At 45.1% G+C, this 13,227-nt stretch overlaps 1 long non-coding RNA gene across 1 annotated transcript in view, besides 2 other annotated features; it reads left to right on the top strand.

The window, feature by feature from the left end:
- PTCSC2 (papillary thyroid carcinoma susceptibility candidate 2) overlaps window positions 1-13,227 on the top strand; it is a 153,456-nt gene that overhangs the window by 41,561 nt on the left and 98,668 nt on the right. The window contains exons 2-5 of the long non-coding RNA NR_147055.1: window positions 1,481-1,625; window positions 5,496-5,680; window positions 5,891-6,032; window positions 7,130-7,269. This is a non-coding gene — a long non-coding RNA (papillary thyroid carcinoma susceptibility candidate 2). The remainder of the gene's footprint in view (window positions 1-1,480; window positions 1,626-5,495; window positions 5,681-5,890; window positions 6,033-7,129; window positions 7,270-13,227) is intronic.
- Window positions 1,427-2,626: an enhancer, noted in NCBI's record as "CDK7 strongly-dependent group 2 enhancer chr9:100571176-100572375 (GRCh37/hg19 assembly coordinates)". NCBI's record gives its function as "activates an origin of replication core promoter dependent on BRD2, BRD4, P300/CBP, MED14 and CDK7 cofactors, with strong dependence on CDK7, by STARR-seq in HCT116 cells {active_cell/tissue: HCT116}" and the evidence as "EXISTENCE:reporter gene assay evidence [ECO:0000049][PMID:35650434]".
- Window positions 7,550-8,119: a silencer, noted in NCBI's record as "silent region_20103". NCBI's record gives its function as "represses an Ori minimal core promoter by ATAC-STARR-seq in GM12878 lymphoblastoid cells {active_cell/tissue: GM12878}" and the evidence as "EXISTENCE:reporter gene assay evidence [ECO:0000049][PMID:35858748]".

Here is a 13,227-nt window from a genome sequence, read left to right as displayed (position 1 = left end):
ACTGATAGTGGTTTGCCTGGGGCTGGCAATGGAAATAAGGATTGATTGCAAATGGGCATGAGGAATCTTTGTGGGATGATGGAAAGACTTCTGAAACTAGACTATGGTGATGGTTACACAATTCCGTGAATTTACTAAAAGTCATAGCATTGTACACTTAAATGGGTGAATTTCATGGTGTGTAAGTTATACTTCAATAAAGCTTTACAAAAATTGTGAGGTTGGCCAGGCACGGTGGCTCACTTCTGTAATCCCAGCACTTTGGGAGGCTGAGGGGGGTGGATCACTTGGGGTCAGGAGTTTGAGACCAGGCTGACCAACATTGTAAAACCCCGTCTCTACTAAAAATACACAATTAGCCGGGTGTGGTGGTGCACACCTATAGTCCCAGCTATTCGGGAGGCTGAGGCAGGAGAATCGCTTGAACCCGGGAGGCGGAGGTTGTAGTGAGCCGAGATCATGCTATTGCACTCCAGCCTGGGCAACAAGAGCAAAACTCCATCTCACAAAAAAAAAAAAAAAAAAAAAAAAAAAAATTTGAGGCCCCAGACTCTTCTTTGGGAATGTGGGCCTTCGTCAGGGAGAGGGACTTGGAGGATGCACATTTGACGTTGAGGTGGAGCCAGCATGTGCCAGACGCAGCTCCAGCACTCAGGGGGAAGTAGGGGGAAGGGGACAGGCCCTTTTCCACTGTGGGAAGCACACCATGCCCCCAGTGCACATTCTACACCTCTGCCACAGGCCCTTCTCACTCTTACCACCTTGGTCCTTGTCACCACCTGCCCCTGAGGGATGCTTTGCCTCTGGACAGTTAGCAATGGGAAGAAAAGCTGCACTGGGTCAGATGGCAGGAGACTGGTTATGGCCAGGGCCTGAGCAACTGATTCACCTGTGTAACTGTGGGCAAGATCTGTGCGTTTTCAGCATTGAAGAGAGGCTGTGAGGCTGGGCTACGTGTCTAGTTCTCTCTTCATGGTTAGGGAGCTAGGGAAGAATGGCCCATGGAGATGGGCAGATGGACATCCAGCTGGTAAAGCACGTCTGCATCTGGCTCATAACTGCCCTGTGCAGGAGGTTGGTGGGAGCAGGCTGAGAATTGCTCCCTCCAGTTCCCTAAGTGGTCTCCTCCTGTTGTTCTGAGTGTGCCGGCCCATCCCAGGACCTCTGGACAACCCTATCCCCAGCAAGCAGAGGACAAACACCCAGCCCAGGGGGGACCTCCAGACCCCTGCCAGTGTCTGCTCTGATTGGTCTTTGCTATCCTGGTGGTTTTTTCAGTCAGCCCACTTCTACCCTTAGAACACGGAGGCCTGGAGGGAGAAAGGGCTGTGATGCTGTTCAGACAGCAACGAATGATTTAAGCCCTGGTCTCCTGTTTCTTCCCAATAGGTGGTCTCTCTGGGCTCCTGCACAGCAGGCTTTTCCGTGGAGGCTGGAAGGGTCTGGAGCTGACTCCAAGACATGGTCTTTCTCTCCATAGATGGTGGAAAGCTGCACTTGAAGTCCAACTCTGTCCTGGGGGAATAATTATGTTCCCTGTCTTGGGAGCCTTTCTTCAGGGAGCTTGATGGTTCCAACCCACCCAGGAGCCTGGGACATCTGTGCCCCTGGGCAATCCCCTGCAGGTGAGTCATAGGGAAGGAGGAGACAGTTTCATTATGAAAGGGGCCACCCACCGGGGCTTTATCATCCAGCATAATAGGAAAGTAATTGCCTGTATTTATCCAGGGCCTAACATGAGCCTGGCACTGTGGTAGGTGCGTCCTAAGCTTTATCCCACTTAATCCTTACAGTATCATAGCAAAAACATAGGAAATATTACTTAAATTTTACCAAAGAGGAAACTGAGGCTCAGAGAGTAAGGAAATCTGGTTTGCATTCCCTACCCTCAGCGCCTGTTGAAATCTTACTCACGGGTCAAGATCCATCTCTGGTGCCTGTGGCTCTCCTCAGAGCCATCTCAGGGCCTCCATGCCACCACCTCTGCTTGTCTCCCATGGCATTTTGGCTGTGGACTGTGGATCTTTGAGACCATGTTAGTTGCCCCACTCGGCTGGGAGCTCCTGGAGGGCAGGAAGCTGGTCCTATTGGGTTCTGTCCCCGGAGCCTGGCCAGGCATCTGGGAATTGGGTTGGATTGGACCCCAATTTACAAACTGGGTCAAGACCCAGGGGCAACAATAAGAAAGAGGAATGTAAGAACAGCAGTGGTGAAAGTAAGCCATAATCCTCACACCTCCCCACCGCCCCCCCCCTCACACCCCCATGCACCTCCTCCCACTCCATCCCTTCACACTGCCATCACCCCCACCAACATGAGGTTTGGTTAATGATCTCCATTAAAAAGTAATGAGGAGGAAACAATCTCAGAGAGCTTGAGTAATGAGGTCACACTGCTAACAATTGGAGGAACTGGATTCAAACCCTGGCCTGATTCCAAAGCCCATGTTCTTTTCATTGTTCCAGGGACGTTCACCATAATTTTAGTCTTTTGATTCTGCCTTTACAATTTTTGTCATATCTACAAACCACTTGTGAGAGTAATCAATATTTTTCTTTAAACTAACTCATTTTTAAAAAATGTACGTTTACTCTAAAAAGAAACTTTGGATGGAAACCCAGTATAATTTGCCATAATTAATTAAATTAATTAATTATTATAACAATGAAGTTCATCCTGGAGCTACCTACGATCACCTTTGGTGCTATGCACGTATCCTCTGGGGAATCCACACCACGCACACACTGCATGCTTCACACTGCTGCAGGAACCCTTTAAATCTCTTCTCTCCTGCTCTCTTGTTTACTGTCCATTTTGTCACATGGTGCTCAGCGTCCTGGGGACTGAGGGTTGGAAGGGACATTGGACACTGGAGAAGTCCGATATTGTCACTGAGTCTGAGAGAGCTTGTGATGTGCCCATAGGTTTGTGGTCATGTGACCCAGGTCCCACTGGGGCTTTTCACCGCTCACATTTCATTGTCCAGAACTAGCCACATGGTGCCTCTTGCTGCAGGGGGCAGGAAGTGTAGATTCCCAAACAACTAGGAAGGAAAGGAGAACCAAATAATGGTGAGCATTTAGAATATCTCCTACATATCATTCCTTACATCATTCCTATGGGGGAGGAGGTTACTAAATATTATTTCTCTTCTATAAATGAGGAAACTGAAGCCCACAGAGGAAAATTGACTAAAGCCACACAGATGGAAAGAAAAGGGGCCATGATTTGAACCCAGGCAGTCTGGCTTTGGAGTTCATGGAAAAAACTCAATGAGAATGCTTAGCATACAGTCAGCAATCTATCTGTATTATTTTCCTATAGCTGCTGAAACAAATGTTTACATTTAGGGCCCATGTGGATAAGCCAGGATATCCTACCCACATTAGGATCCTTACTTTAATCATACCTGCAAAGACCCATGTGTCATATAGAGTAATATTCACAGGTTCCCAAGATTCATGGATGCACATCTTTGGCAACATTACTCAGTCGACTGTACTGTGAGAGCTCTAATTGTCTGTGAGAGCTCTAATTATCTGAATGCTGGTTGTCTTTGTGGTCTGCCCCTTTCTCAGGGACTGATCACTTTCTACCCTGCAGGCTAGCAATTTGTCATGTTTTCCTGCTGGAATTTGAGCACCCCGAGGGTAGGGAGTGTTGTTGATTCACCTTCCCCTCTACAGAGTTGGGCACATACAAATCACAGAATTGTGCAAATGATTGATTTGAGTGAGTTAAAATTTCTCTTGAGGGCATCAGAAATAGCTGTGGTAAAGGAGGGGTCTGTGTATGGCAGTGCCATCACAGACATCCTTTTGAGGATGAAGGAAACATCCTTTTGAGGATGAAGGAACAAAAGGAACAAAAGGATGAGGAAACATCCTTTTGAGGATGAAGAGGGGGACCAGCTGTCCTCCAGGGCTCATGTAGAACTGCTTTCCCCTGCCATTGCCTCAAGCCTACACGTTGGGTGGGGTGAGAAAATTGGCTGGCCTCTCACCAGGGCCTTTGATTCATTTACTCATTCAACAGATGTTCATTGACTATCTCTTCACTTTAGTAACATCTTCAGCTGGAGAAGCCATGGCCATAGGAAGCTCTTTTTGGTACCATGTGCGAGGACTTTGGGGTCACACCTATATGTGCAGTCCACAGGCACATTCCCAGTCAATAAGGTGGAATAGAAAGAGGCTCAGGATAACTGGGCTCAAGTCCTAACTTTGCTGTTGCCTTGAACAAGTCTTGTCTACTCTCTGGAGTGTCCACACACATCACTCTTGTTGCATTTACTATATTATTAAATTGTAATCATATATAGTTTCTGTATCCTTCTCCTTCCACAGGATGAGTTCTGTAAGGAGAGGACAGTGTCTATGTCATCTTTGTCTTCCCATTCACTATCTTAAGACCCAGTGTATCACAAACTCTTAGTAGTAGTAATAATAGTGTAGCAATGATGATGACGACCCTGGTAAAAGCTCTCCATTTATGGAGAGCTTACTATGTGTCAAGCAGTGTTTTATGTACTTTCATGTTGAAACTCATTTCATCCTCATAACACCTCTATGAATTAAGTACTATTATTATCCACACTCTACAGATGAGGAATCTGAGGCACAGAGAGATTAAGTAACTTGCCCAAAGTTGCACAATTAGTCAGTGGTTGAGCCAGGATTTAAATTCAGATTCTCTGTCCAGAAGTCATGGTTTAAACCATTCTGTACAATGTGGTTTGTTTGAAAGATGGAACGAAATGTGAAATGAGGACCTACAAGGTCATTTTAGCTCTCATTTCCTGTGAGTCTCAAAAAAGCTTCCCTGCAACCTGTACAAAGGACCTCTGCTCTGGTCTGGCAGGGTGGACCAGGGAACACTGAGGTACAAGGTCTGGTGTCCTGAGAATGAGTGTTTGAATCCTGGTTCTGCCACTTATTGCTGTGTCTTTGAGAAAGTTATTTAACCTTTTTGAAGTTCAGTTTTCTCACAGAGCAAAAGAACACTAATACCTACATTGTGGAGTTGTTGGTAGAATAAAAGAATAAAATAAAACAAAATAAAAATAAAAAAATAAAAGAATAACTAAGGAAAAGTGGTTAACACCAGGGAAGCTCTCTACAGAAAATAGGGACTTTGGAATGTAATTGCCACAGAGTTGAATATTCCTCCTTAGAACAGAGCTTGGTGGGGGATTTAAGTTGGTTCACTTTTCTGAAGGATTAGTATGAGAGATCCCCATGGGAAATCAAGTGAATCCAAGATTAATCTGCTTTCTGAATGTAAAGACTTTGGATGGAAAATTAGGCTGCCCGTGTGTGTGTGTGTATGTGTGTGTGTAGACTGTCTTGGGGTCAATTGCTGGGATGGGTAGGGACATATTTCAAAATGAGCAGGGACCACAGAGTGAGGAAACATGTTCAAATTCTGGCTCTGCCATTACCTTCCTGTGCCATCTGGCAGGTGGGGCCAGTAATCAATCATCTTTGGGTTTCCAGTTTCCTGATTCCAAGATGAGGGGGTAGAATCCGAAGATCTCCAAGGCCTTGATGAGTGCTACCAGTCTGCAAATTCCCAAGCCAAGTTCTTCAATGAATCAAATTTCCTCCAGTAGCCATTTCTACCAAAGGAGCAACTGTTTTTCCTTCCCACTGACATGGCTATGTATTCGAACTGGATATAGGTGAGAGGCATTTTTGTCCTAGCTTCTCGGGCCCCTCCAAGGAGCTCCAAGAGGCTTAAGGATCCCAGCCATGTTGGGATAAAAATACCCAATCAATCAATAAACATTTTATTTAAAAATGATTTATTTAAAAAATCACACAATTTGAGAGCAAATACAGAAGATATGAATTAGCAAAACGAACAAAATTAAAATCTCATACAATCGCAGGACACTGGGACCTGAAGTCTTGGAGAGGATGTAATCACTAAGTCATCCCAAGGAAGAGTGGGATGCCTACAAGAGAGGGATGCCTACAAGAGAGGGATGCCTAAATTGGTTACCCCTAAGCCCACCGACTTTTAAGGCATGTGTAAGTGAGTGGGAACCTGCAAAAAGACTGGAAGGAGCAGCCAGAGAGGTAGGAAGAAAACCAGGAGTGCCTGTTGTCACGGAAGCTGAGGGCAAGGAGGACAGTGGTTGGGAGAATCTGATGCAGGTATATCCCTCACACTTTCCAAGGGTCACCTTATTATTTTAATCCTCCCAACAGATTGGTGAAGTGGGAACCATCATACTCTAACTTCTCCTTTTTTTTTTTTTTTTTTTTTTTTTTTTGAGACGGAGTCTCCCTCTATTGCCCAGGTTGGAGTGCAGTGGCGCAATCTGGATTCACTTCAACCTCTGCCTCCTGAGTTCAAGCGATTCTCCTGCCTCAGCCTCCCGAGTAGCTGGGACTACAGGAGCGTGCCACCATGCCCGGCTAGTTTTTTTGTATTTTTAGTAGAGACGGGGTTTCACCATATTGGCCAGGCTGGTCTCAAACTCCTGACCTTGTGATCCGCTCGCCTCGGCCTCCCAAAGTGTTGGGATTACAGGCGTGAGCCACCGCGCCCAGCCACTTCTCCTTTTTTAATTTAACATTTTTTATTTTGGATGACGGGTATTTATTATTTTTATATAATTCTTTGAGTCTTTTTGTCCTGCATACTTTCAAGGTTTAAAAAGGGGAAGGAGGAAAGCAGGGACTCTCAGGCCAGATCCAAAGAGTGGCTCCCCTATGGAACTGTCTTTGGGCACCCCAGACTTGAGCCTGAGCAAGTGACTAGCTCTGCTTCCTTCCCAAGGTTGGACTACAATCTCAAAGTGTTGGTGTAGAATGAGGCCCCACTGCAAGTGGCTGCCCCCAGGACCAAGCTTACCTGCCCTCCTCTTGCCTCAGTTCCTTACTTGTTGGTTGGGACAGCAACACCACCTTAAAGCCCTGGGGAGGACTGGCCTCAAAGGCTCAAAGAAGGTGCTGGGTGACTGCAGCTCCTGTCAGACCTCCCTGGGTTGTGTGTGCACCTGTGTGTATGTAGTGTGATGTATGTGTATATGTGTGTGCCTATGTGTGTATGTGTGATCACACTTCTAGGGATCCTGGTGTAAGGTCAGGATACCCTGTCCCACTCCATCCCTCTCTAACAGCAGCTCCAAGGACCATGGCCCCAGGAACTAGGCACAAGTGACAGGAGACACTTGCTATGTCTAAACCCAGTGCACCCTCAGCCCGGCCTCGCCTTTTCAAGGACGGCTAGCACAGGCCATCATCCTGGCCCACGATGAAGGTGAGCATCAAACTCCAATTTCTGAAGAGGAAACTGAAGACCAGAGAGGGGAGGTAAACATCCCAAAGTCACCAGCAAGTCAGTGGGAGACACAACTTTAACCCTAGTTTTGACTGGCAGTCTGTGGGCATCGAGGCCACCATTCCATGTACCTAATGTGTGTCTGGCAGTGTTCCAGGCCTCACCTGCATCATTTCTAATCCTCTCAACCAGAGGATCAGAGAGGTGGCGTTTTTACCCCTAGTACACAGAGGAGGCGCTTGGGGTTCAGAGGCACGTGTGGAACTAGACCGACGCCACTCACCCCAGCAGGTGGCCAAGCGGGATGGGAGCGCGGGTCTCCCCATCCCCAGCGGTGACGGGCGGCGGCTCTTTCCTGAAGAATGGGGCGGCGTCCGCAACGGGAACCGCTGGAGGCGCTCCCCGGGACCCTGGCCCGCCCTCGCCCCCGCGCATGCCTGGCCGCTGAGGCGTGAGAGCCGCCGCCCGGGGCCTCCCCCCGCGCGCCTTGCACAACCGGCCCAGGTAAGTGCTGCGTCTCTGGGCAATTATCGCCCTCCCGCCGCCGGGGCTGGCCGCGCACAGGGCCCACGGCCAAGGCACTCGCAGCCACCCAAGGAGAGCTGCACGGTCTACGACGGCCGCCAGCGCGCGCGATTTCACAAGGCCCGGGAGCGGGGACGGGGCGGGGCGGCGGGGGCGGTGACGTCACGCGCAGCCACGCCCCGCGGTTGCCCCGCCCCCGCGCTGGGCCGGGCCTGGGGAGGAAGCGATGCGAGGCCACCTGTCCACCTGCGCCGCTTCGTCCTTCCTCCTCCTCCTCCCTGTCAGCTGTTTTTCTTTCTTCCCATCTCCCATCTCTTCCTTTTTATCCCTCTCATTCCTCCCTCTTTCCGTCCGTTTCCTTCTCCCTTCCCCATCTCCTTCCTTTTAATTTTCCTTTTCTCCTCCCTCCCGCCTTCCTTCTCTCTGCTTCCTTTCTCTTCCTCCCTCCCTCCTTCTCTTCCGCCTGCTTCCTTTCTTTCTCCTCTCTCTCCTTTCTTCCTTTCCTCCTCTCCTTTTTCTTTTTCTTTTATTTTCTTTCTTTCTTTTTTTTCTGAGACGGAGTCTCCCTCTGTCGCCCAGGCTGGAGGGCAATGGCGCGATCTCGGCTCACTGCAACCTCCGCCTCCCGGGTTGAAGCGATTCTCCTGCCTCAGCCTCCCGAGTAGCTGGGATTACAGGCTCCCGCCACCACGCCCGGCTAATTTTTTTGTGTTTTTAGTAGAGAAGGGGTTTCACCATGTTGGCCAAGCTGGTCTTGAACTCCTGACCTCGTGATCCACCTGCCTTGGCCTCCCAAAGTGCTGGAATTACAGGCGTGAGCCACCACGCCCGGCCTCATTTCTTTTAAACATGTATTTTAATATTTTTAATTGTTGTGGAGAACATGTCACATGAAATTTACCATCTTAACCATTTTAAGTGTGCAGTTCAGTAGTGTTAGCTGTATTCACATTGTTGTGCAGCAGAGCTCTAGAACTTTTTCATCTTGCAAAACAGACTTTATACCAATTAAACAACTCCCCATCCCACCGCCCCTCCTAACCATTATTCTACTTTGTGTTTCTTCTGTTCTTTTTCCCTTTTGGGGCCTTTGTTTCTTTTCCTTTATCTCTCCCTTTTCTTCCCCTCCCTCTCTCCTTCTCTCACTTCTATAAAACCTAATGGCCCCGCTGCCTGGGCAGCCCTCTCCGGCCTCTGCCTGGACTGGGCCAGTGGGCCTGTCAGCAAGGCTGTTAGAGTTTGGTGAATCATCATTCTTACCTGATGTGTCAGGGCCAGTGGGAGGCCCCTGGAAGCCTCACTTGGCTTTTCACTGGTAGGCAAACACGTCCAGCAAGAAACTTCTGCCAGGAAGAGTTAATTAGGAGAGAGGCCCCGACTCCCCCAGAGTAAGAGGGTCGGCCTGGGAACCCCTCTCTTCCCTGGGCCTTCTCCAGCCCTGGGGCTCCCCTTCTAGACGGTAGAAGACAGCCACGATGATGCTGATGGGGGTGATAACTTGGACTGACACAAAACGCGTTTCTATAGACATTATCTCATTCTTGTTCTCACAATAATCCTAGGAGGTAGGTGTTATCATTCCCATTTTACAGCTGAGGAAACCAAGCCTCAGAATTCTAAGTGAAGGGATTTGCCTATGGCCACAAAGCTGCTCAGCTGCAGAGTTGGGAAGCTGGGGGACGCAGGTTTGTATCACAAAAGCAGGAAAAATGTGGCTAGATCAGAGTGCAAAACACTACAAAAATGATTTGCTCCTTCGTCTGTGTTCCCATAGTGCTTTGTTTAGACTCCTGGTTGTGGACTGTACCTGATGGGTTTCTCCATCAGCTGGGCATAGACAAGGGATATTGAATGAACAAGTGGTAGAGGTATCTGATAGCATGCATAGCAAGTGAAAAGGAAGAACGTTGGTTTCTAGGCAGCTAAGAGACTTTTTTTTTTTTTTGAGACAGAGTTTCGCTCTTGTTACCCAGGCTGGAGTGCAATGGCGCGATTTCAGCTCACGGCAACCTCTGCCAGTTAAGAGACTTTTTAATCAAATAGAGCTGCCACCCAGATGTCCTTGGGGTTTCTGGAATTTTGGCCGTCCATACTGGGAATGTATTGAGAGAATAAGGTGTGGCTGGAGTTGCAGTTCTCCCACTTTTTCTGGGTAGGACCTCTGGTTCATGGGACAGTTCACATTCTTTGAGCAAGTTCTGTTTCAATCTCTTTGCAATATGTTGGTGTGGAAATAATTTTTAGTATCACAGGTAATCGTGGAAGATAGTTAATGTTCACCAATTATCCAATTCTCTTTTACTTCTAAGTATGTGGATGCATATACTCTTCTGTCCCCTTGAAATAAAGCATGGTCATGTGACTATTTTTGGCTGATAAATGTGATTAAAAGGAGTTGTTCCTATCTTTTGGCTATTGTGAAGACTGCTACTATGAACATTGGTGTATAGGCTTTGGTTTAGACACTTGTTTTCAATTATTTGGGATATATACCTAGGAATGGAATTGCTGGGTCATATGTAATTGTATGTTTAATGTTTTGAAGAACCACCAAACTGTCTTCCATAGTGGCTGCATCTTGTTACATTCCCACCAGCAAGGTACAAGGGTTCCAATTTCTACATATCCCTGCCAACACTTGTTATATCTTCCCGTTTTTTGGATAATAGCCATTCTAATCGATATGAAGTGGTATCTCATTGTGTTGCCTTTGTTTCTGAAAGATACTTTTACTGTGTGTGAAGTTCTCGGTTGACATTTTTACATTAAAGATTTTTTCCCCACTGTCTTCTAGCTTGCATTTTCTTCCAATAACAAATCTGCTGTCATCTTTATCTTTGTTCCCACTGTATATAATATGTGTCTTTCTCTGACTACTTTTTAGATTTTTCCTTTATCATTTGTTTTGAAATGTGCCTTGGTGTCATTCTTTTGTTTGGAATTCACTGGGCTTCTTAGATCTTTGCATGTATACTTTCCAACTTTTGGGAACTTTTGACCGTTCGTTTTTAAACACATTTGTTGAGATATAATTTATCTACCATACAATTCACCCATTTAAATGTACAATTAACTGTATATTATTATATGTGTTGATGATGTGCACCCATCACTGCACTCAATTTTAGAATGTTTTCATTATCCGAAAGAGAAACCCTGTTCTTTTTGGCCATCATCTCCCAACCCTCCTCACCACCTTCCACCTCCCTACTTCAGGCAAGCACTATTCTACTTTCTGTTTGTACAGATTTGCCTATTCTAGATATTTCACATGAAGAAAGCATACAATATGTGGCCATTGACCGGCCTGCCTTTCTTTCCCTCCCTCCCTCCCTCCCTCCCTCCCTCCCTCCCTTCCTTCCTCCCTTCCTTTCTCTCTGCCTTTCTTTCTCTCTTTCTTTCTTTCTTTTTTGAGATGGAGTTTTGCTCTTGTTGCCCAGGCTGGAGTGCTGTGGTGTGATCTTAGCTCACCACAACCTCCGCCTCCTGGGTTCAAGTGATTCTCCTGCCTCAGCCTCCCGAGTAGCTGGGATTACAGGCATGCGCCGCCATGCCCGACTAATTTTTGTAGTTTTAGTAGAGACGAGGTTTCACCATGTTGGCCAGGCTGGTCTCGTACTCCTGACCTCAAGTGATCCGCCTGCCTCGGCCTCCCAAAGTGCTGGGATTACAGGCATGAGCCACTGGGCCCGGCCTCTATTATTTCTTTAAATATTTCTTTTGTCCTTTCCTTCTTCTCCTCTCCTTCAGATACTCCCATTTGTTTTAAAGTTATTTTGAAAACTGTATTTGAATATAATTGGTTTCCTTTGTATTCCTTTATATTTTTAATGCATTTAAAAACATTATTCTAAGAAGATGTCCATAGGTATCACTAGGCTGCTAGAAGAGTCTTTGGCACAAAAATGTTAATAGAATATCCTTATTCTAGATAGTGTTATAGATGAATGTTTTCCAAACTGGTTTTTCAAAGAAAGCTATTTCTTAGGATATTGATAGTTGCTGCAATAGAGGTAGTCTTTGCTCAGATAAGCTTGGGAACACTGAATGAAACTGAGTGAACACTGAGAAAAGCATCTGATATCTTTTTCTGCCCGATTTCTCCAAGTCTTTTATTCGCTAAAATGCTTTGTGTATATCTAAGAGGAGATATAATGTGCAACATTTTCTAATTCAGTGTAGCACACAGTACACACTTTTTTCAATTTGTTATTTTAAAAAAACCCCTCTAATAATATCTAGTTCAATGAATTATGCAAATGAAATGCTCCAAAACACAAATCCCCTAAAAAAGGGCCATAAATGCTTTTATATTATTATAATAAGTGTTTCTCAAACTAAGAATAACAGACTAATGAACCCATTTAAAAGGAGAAAAATCTCACAAACTCCTCGGTACTTAATGTGTAACTTAAATGAGTTTTAGTTTAACATTATTTAAGTATGTAGAAATGTAAAACTAGATATAGCCTTTAAACAATAAAACCAAAACAAATTTATGAATTAAATACGATGCTACAAACAAAATCAAAATAGAAACCCATATGTTTAATATGATGGAATTTTTTTTTTTTTTTTTTTTTTTTTTTTTTTTTTTTTTTTTTTTTTTGTTGCTGACACTAAATGGCTACTTGCAGTGTTACTATGGGGCTAACCTGTTAAGGGGCAGGCTCTTTGGGATTTGTCATGACTGTAATGCTGTGTGTGGATGACTCAGTTTGAACTTTCTCTATTTGAACTTCTGAGAAAGCTTGCTTCTTACAGGGCTGTGATATTCTTTCATTTTAGTTAACATGGCCATATTACACCTTGGGATTGGGTCTGCCTCCCTTTTCTCATTAATGTTTTTTTTTTTTTTTTCATTTGGTAATAATTTTATTTTATTTTTATTCTGTCATGTCCATTTAAGTTGTATAATACTTTCAGATATAGAATTTGACAAAGTTCCTATGGCAAATATGAAGCTGCATAAAATCTGCTTCCTGACCCAGAGAGCTTGGAGGTTGTTGTGATTATGATTATCTTATATTATGCTCATACTACTTAAAACTCATTTGTTCTTTCTTAGTTATTATAATTTCTTAGGACTTTTAGATCACAGATTATTGTCCCATTACTTTGTAATATATGTTTTGCTTTTAAGAAAAAAAGTTCAGCTGCTTTATTTTTTGTATCAAAATACACAATTTTAGCATTTGGAACGTGAGAGAGGATGAGAAAAGAGAGACTTAGAAGATATAATTAGTATCAATTAGGGCAAAATATATATGTATCACTATAGCAACATGTTATATCATTTAAAAGCATATACTGTGGAGCTAAGTAGATAACGGATTCAAATAACAACTCTTTTCTTTATTGTCTGTGAAGATTTTGGAAAGTTACTATTTCTCAGCTCCAGTTTCCTCACCT

The sequence above is a fragment of the Homo sapiens genome, chromosome 9 (assembly GCF_000001405.40).
Source record: "Homo sapiens chromosome 9, GRCh38.p14 Primary Assembly".
NCBI classification, from domain to species: domain Eukaryota; kingdom Metazoa; phylum Chordata; class Mammalia; order Primates; family Hominidae; genus Homo; species Homo sapiens.
The sequence above is the reverse complement of the archived record's forward strand: the minus strand, read 5'-3'. Positions and strand labels throughout refer to the sequence as shown.